This window comes from Homo sapiens, chromosome 11, assembly GCF_000001405.40.
Source record: "Homo sapiens chromosome 11, GRCh38.p14 Primary Assembly".
NCBI classification, from domain to species: Eukaryota; Metazoa; Chordata; class Mammalia; order Primates; family Hominidae; genus Homo; species Homo sapiens.
In genome coordinates, this window is record NC_000011.10 from 55,892,178 (window position 1) to 55,898,782 (window position 6,605).

Consider the following 6,605-nt stretch of genomic DNA (forward strand, 5'->3'; position numbering starts at 1 on the left):
GAGTGCTGTTCTACAGTGAAATTTACAAGGGGATCAGGACAATGCTGGATCAATTAAATATTCAAATGGACATAACTGAATACTGACCCCTACCTCATACCATACACAGTGCATTCCCACATGGATTCATGCTCTGAAGGTGAAGGGAACACAATAAAATATTCTCACACAGAAAGATTTCCTAACCAGGACAAAAAAGGGACAATTAAAAAGAAAAATTTAGTTAGCTTATATAAAAAATGGTGACTTCTGTGTTTCAAAATATACCATCCAAGAATTAAAATGCAAACCAAGAGTGGAGAAAAATATTTATCCCTACATATATGCAATAAAATACAATACATGTGATTAATGAATGTAATAAATAAAAGAAAAGGAAACCAACATAAAATTGGGAAAATATTTGAATAGGCACTTCATAAAGTTGGAGGCATAAATATCTGGACCAATATGAAAAAGGAATTACTTGTATTAGTCCTCAGAATAATAAAAATTAATTCATAAGTTGAACTACAGGCCTCCATAAAAATTAGCAAAATTTAAAGACACATAATATTGTGTGTTGTGAAAGATAAAGAATCAATGAAAGTTATTCATGGCTGGAGGGATGTAAACTGAAATACTTTTTGGCAAACTGACTATGAGCATTCCTTATGGGCTAGACATTCTAATTCTAAAATATATTCCACAGACTGCCTATGTGTATTTAAAGATAAACACAATGTTGATCATTGCAGCAATTTTTATAGTAGCTCCAAATTGGAGACAAAATAAATATTCATCAACAGTAGAATTGCTAAATAAATTGTGATCTCATCGTACAAAAGAATTTTACAAAACAGAGATAACATCGAAATGCAACAAATTAATGAATCTCAAAGAGAAGTTTAAGAAAAGAATTGAAACATACAAGTGTTATATTACAGTGTTTTATTTAGATAAATTGTGAACTCCATTAATTGATGCTAGAAGTTAGAATATTGAATAATGTTTTGGAAGGCAATGGCTAAGAAACTTAAAAATTAAGCAGGATAAGATACAGGAAGCATTGAAATCAAGGAGAGAAACTATAAGCATTTTTCATGCAGAAGAGAATTTTATATATATATATATTAAGTATTTTAACGTATAAAATAAGAAGTTTGAAATAAATGAATTTGATGTTTTGTCTAATTTTTCAAATGCATATATATATAATTTAATTTATGATAATTTAACATCAACATTAAGACATAAAACTTTTTTTATTATTATACTTTAAGTTCTGGGGTACATGTGCAGAACGTTCAGGTTTGTTACATAGGTATACACGCACCATGGTGGTTTGCTGCACCCATCAACCCGTCATCTACATTAGGTAGTTATCCCAGTGATATCCCTCCCCTGGCCCCCCACCCCAGACAGACCCCAGTGTGTGATGTTCTCCTCCCTGTGTACATGTGTTCTCATTGTTCAACTCCCACTTATGAGTGAGAATATGCGGTGTTTGGTTTTCTGTTGTTGTGTTAGTTTGCTGAGAATGATGGTTTCCAGCTTCATCCATGTCCCTGCAAAGGACATGAACTCATCCTTTTTATGGCTACATAGTATTCCACGGTGTATATGTGCCACATACATTTGTTTTACAGTCTGTGAAGAGATTCAGAGAATATCACATTTTAAGACTTGTATTTACCTCCCCGTCTCCCCTGTGTAACAAAACCTAAAACTACAAAGGGAAATATAAGGAATGCCATTGCCCTTGGGATGCTGGTAAAACTAATTGATGTTTGGAAAGGGGAAAAGAAAAAATAGGAAAAAAATATGTGGAGGATTTAGACCTACACCTGAAGGTTGGACAGGTTTTAAGTTTTTGGCTACATTTTAAACTAATCCTGCTTTTTCCTGTGAACCAACCAGCAATCTCCAGTTGCTGGAAAGAACAAAAGACTTGGGTAATGTACAAATATGAATCAACATTCTAATTCTGAGCAATTATCCTGCAAATCCTGCCAGGTGATGGGAATAAATAAGATGCTCATCACTTGGAGGTTTCCCTTTGGGAAAGTAAGACCAAGGGAGCTAAGCAAAGCCAAGCCCCATGCCCCTAAACCCTAGGAAGCCTAACTATAGCCCGCAGTTAATTGGGTGTGTCACAAGACATCCTTTTCTCTCCCTTGTTGGAGGAGGGCTCAGTTCTAAAGTTTCACCTTAGCATTCGGCATATGATAAGGAGTCCATGCAACCCCCCTGAGACACATCTTTGTCCCAAACTCAATTCCAAACTCAGGTCAAAGCCCTAGGAAAGAAAACTGGATCTAAGGGATCCAGAGGCAGACAAGTTAAGAAGCACAGTGCAGGTGGACATGGCTGATTCCTGCCAATTAAGCCAAGCTTCCCATTTCACGGATAAAGGCCACATTAATATCCATTGCATAAATGAGGTCCAGGGAACTCCAAGGCTACTGACAGCAGGAGAGATAGGGTGTACGTGGGTACAGTGGAGAGTTCCCACCCTGTAGGCCCCCTGCTTCATGGGTGCAAGCGCTTTAACACCCATGGCAGCACCTGCCAAGTTCTCTGGGACTCGGGGATGAAAGGACAGAAGATAGAAAAAGGATGCTCTTCCCTCTCTCACTCACATACCCCTGGTATCGGCTATGGATAGAAAGGAACCAGGGATGCCTGCGCCCCTCTTTCTAGATGGGTGGCCATTTATCTTGAGTCTTAACTCTTTTTGAATGCATCCCGAATCCCTGGGACTCCTTTGAAAAAAAATGCTAAAAATGCCTTCTTTTTTTCTTTCTCCTCCTTGGTTCTCTCTTCACAGATAGGTAATTGTGTGTCTGTGCTGTGGGATACTCCCCTCAGATGCATCCTCCAAACTGGAAAGAGTTAATTTCCCAAACTTCAAACTGGTTGGCTTAGGACTGGGCTCAGGGGAAGGGAACCCAGAAGCCCAACATGTCAGCAAAAGGGTAAAGTTTTATTTTTTATTCATTATTATTATTTTTTAACCAGCTGGGCTTTTGGCCTCCCTCTACTTGTCCAAGCTGATAAAACACCTCGGGATTTTTGAACTGTCCTTATCTCACCCTTGTTTTATTTTGATACATGTTTTCTAATAACCTGGTTTGTCTCTTCCTGCCTTCGGGTCATCAAACTCCAAATGGTCATGTAATTGGAGCCTTTGACAAAGGCCCCTTCTGCTGGGAACCCTCAAATAGGCCTCTGAGGGAGTTCTGACTGCTGGTTCCACAGAACACCGCCCCCTGTCAGCAGGAAGCAGTAAAGATCAGTCTTCATCCTTATCCTTATCCTCATTGCAAGGGCAGTTAGACGTACTTCCTTAGAGGGCAGAATGAGACAACGAGGTGGGAGGGGGTCCGTGGCAAAATTCCAACCGGCCTATGTACTGCGTGCACAGTGAGGTGCAACCACAGAAGTCCATGCTATTTGTAGTGGGGAAGAGCATGACCCCTCCTCTTCCTGGGTGGAAACTGGAATTCAAACTGTGGTGGGGGAAGCCTACATCAGCAGAAACTCTGGCCTTGCAGACAGTCCCTGTTCCACCTTTTTTCCTTTTTGCCCAATAAATCCTGTTATTCTCACCCTTCAAATCGCCTGCAAGCCTAATGTTTCATGGCTGTGTGATAAGGACCCAGTTCTTAGCTGAACTAAGGAAAAAGACCAGGAACACTTTTATCTCAATTATTCCCAATAATGGATAAGCAATTGGCATAGTATAATTACTTTCCCATGACAGAAAATAAATGCAGTTCACTGGAACTGTTTATCAATTACTTTTGATTTCCATGTAAATATATGCACACTGTATCTTAGCTGTTTAAATCCTGCTCAATCTAAAAAGCCTTCCTGATATATTAATCCATAGGCAATTTTGTTTTCTTAGTCTGTCTTCAATTTCAGATGATAATTTGTATTGTAATTCTCACTAGGACCTTAGATATGCTTCTTTGAAGACTCATTATTTTCTATCTTACTGTGTAGCTTTTGTGCCTGTGTTCTATCCCTCTACCAAAATTATTCATTAATTCTCATTCATTATTTGATACCTTGACTCTTTATCATAGTTTCCTCCCCAGAATAGATTCTGAGTGAATTTTTATGAAATAAATATGTGTAATATTGATTTTTTTTAGTTTAGATCACATGCTTCCAATGTGAAGAAACCATTTATGTTTCTTCAGTATTTTTAGTTCATCCTCCACAGTGGTGCTGTGATTATTACAAGATATTTTTAAGTGTGATGGTTTTTTAAAAGACAGTTTTTGAACATTGAATAAATTAAAACTTGGTCATAAAAGTTTTTCTCTAGGATATGTTGAGTCTGAAATCTCTTGATTGGCAAGCAAACAGCTGAAATTTCTGAGGTAAGCTATTCTCTCAGAGCCAGAGATGAGAACTAGAGCCTACAGATGGTGGGAGAGAAGTTAGTTGACTACTGGGGTATAATCCAGAGGGAAGGTATGGCTGGAAAGTGTGAAAACAGTGTTAAACTCAAAGGTGAGGATGAATAGTGGGATAGAGGGATGAACTAGAGAGGAAAGCCTCTGACAGTGAAAGTGTTTGCTGGGTTGTAAATCTAGAGCAGTTTCATTCACTGCAGTTGGATGGATTTTTAAAACAAGAAGGGATTTGTTTATACAGAACATTGGTGAGGTAGAACTCTGGCCAATGTGCACTTTAAATAGTGAAGACCGTTCACTCTGATGGTAGTTTCTTTTGCTGTGCAGAAGCTCTTTAGTTTAATTAGATCCCATTTTTCAATTTTGGCTTTTGTTGCCATTGCTTTTGGTGTTTTAGACATGAAGTCCTTGCCCATGCCAATGTCCTGAATGGTATTGCCTAGGTTTTCCTCTAGGGTTTTTATGGTTTTAGGTCTAACATTTAAGTCTTTAATCCATCTTGAATTAATTTTTGTATAAGGTGTAAGGAAGGGATCCAGTTTCAGCTTTCTCCATATGGCTAGCCAGATTTCCCAGCACCGTTTATTAAATAGGGAATCCTTTCCCCATTGCTTGTTTTTGTCAGGTTTGCAAAGATCAGATAGTTGTAGATATGCGGCATTATTTCTGAGGGCTCTGTTCTGTTCCACTGGTCTTTATCTCTGTTTTGGTACCAGTACCATGCTGTTTTGGTTACTGTAGCCTTGTAGTATAGTTTGAAGTCAGGTAGCAGGATGCCTCCAGCTTTGTTCTTTTGGCTTAGGGTTGACTTGGCGATGCGGGCTCTTTTTTTGTTCCATATGAACTTTCAAGTAGTTTTTTCCAATTCTGTGAAGAAAGTCATTGGTAGCTTGATGGGGATGGCATTGAATCTATCAATTACCTTGGGCAGTATGGCCATTTTCACGATATTGATTCTTCCTACCCATGAACATGCAATGTTCTTCCATTTGTTTGTATCCTCTTTTATTTCATTGAGCAGTAGTTTGTAGTTCTCCTTGAAGAGGTCCTTCACATCCCTTGTAAGTTGGATTCCTAGGTATTTTATTCTCTTTGAAGCAATTGTGAATGGGAGTTCACTCATGATTTGGCTCTCTGTTTGTCTGTTATTGGTGTATAAGAATACTTGTGATTTTTGTACATTGATTTTGTATCCTGAGACTTTGCTGAAGTTGCTTATCAGCTTAAGGAGATTTTGGGCTGAGATGATGGGGTTTTCTAGATATACAATCATGTCATCTGCAAACAGGGACAATTTGACTTCCTCTTTTCCTAATTGAATGCCATTTATTTCCTTGTCCTGCCTCATTGCCCTGGCCAGAAACTACCATCAGAGTGAACAGGCAACCTACAGAATGGGAGAAAATGTTTCCAACCTACTAATTTGACAAAGGGCTAATATCCAGAATCTACAATGAACTCAAACAAATTTACAAGAAAAAAACAAACAACCCCATCAAAAAGTGGGCAATGGATATGAACAGACACTTCTCAAAAGAAGATATTTATGCAGCCAAAAAACACATGAAAAAATGCTCACCATCACTGGCCATCAGAGAAATGCAAATCAAAACCACAAGGAGATACCATCTCACACCACTTAGAATGGTGATCATTAAAAAGTCAGGAAACAACAGGTGCTGGAGAGGATGTGGAGAAATAGGAACACTTTTACACTGTTGGTGGGACTGTAAACTAGTTCAACCATTGTGGAAGTCAGTGTGGCAATTCCTCAGGGATCTAGAACTAGAAATACCATTTGACCCAGCCATCCCATTACTGGGCATATACCCAAAGGATTATAAATCATGCTGCTATAAAGACACATGCACACGTATGTTTATAGCGGCACTATTCACAATAGCAAAGACTTGGAACCAACCTAAATGTCCAACAATGATAGACTGGATTAAGAAAATGTAGCACATATACACCATGGAATACTATGCAGCCATAAAAAAATGATGAGTTCATGTCCTTTGTAGGGCCATGGATGAAGCCGGAAACCATCATTCTCAGCAAACTATCGCAAGGACAAAAAACCAAACACTGCATGTTCTCACTCGCAGGTGGGAATTGAACAATGAGAGCACATGGACACAGGAAGGGGAACATCACACACTGGGGACTATTGTGGGGTGGGGATGGGGGGAGGGA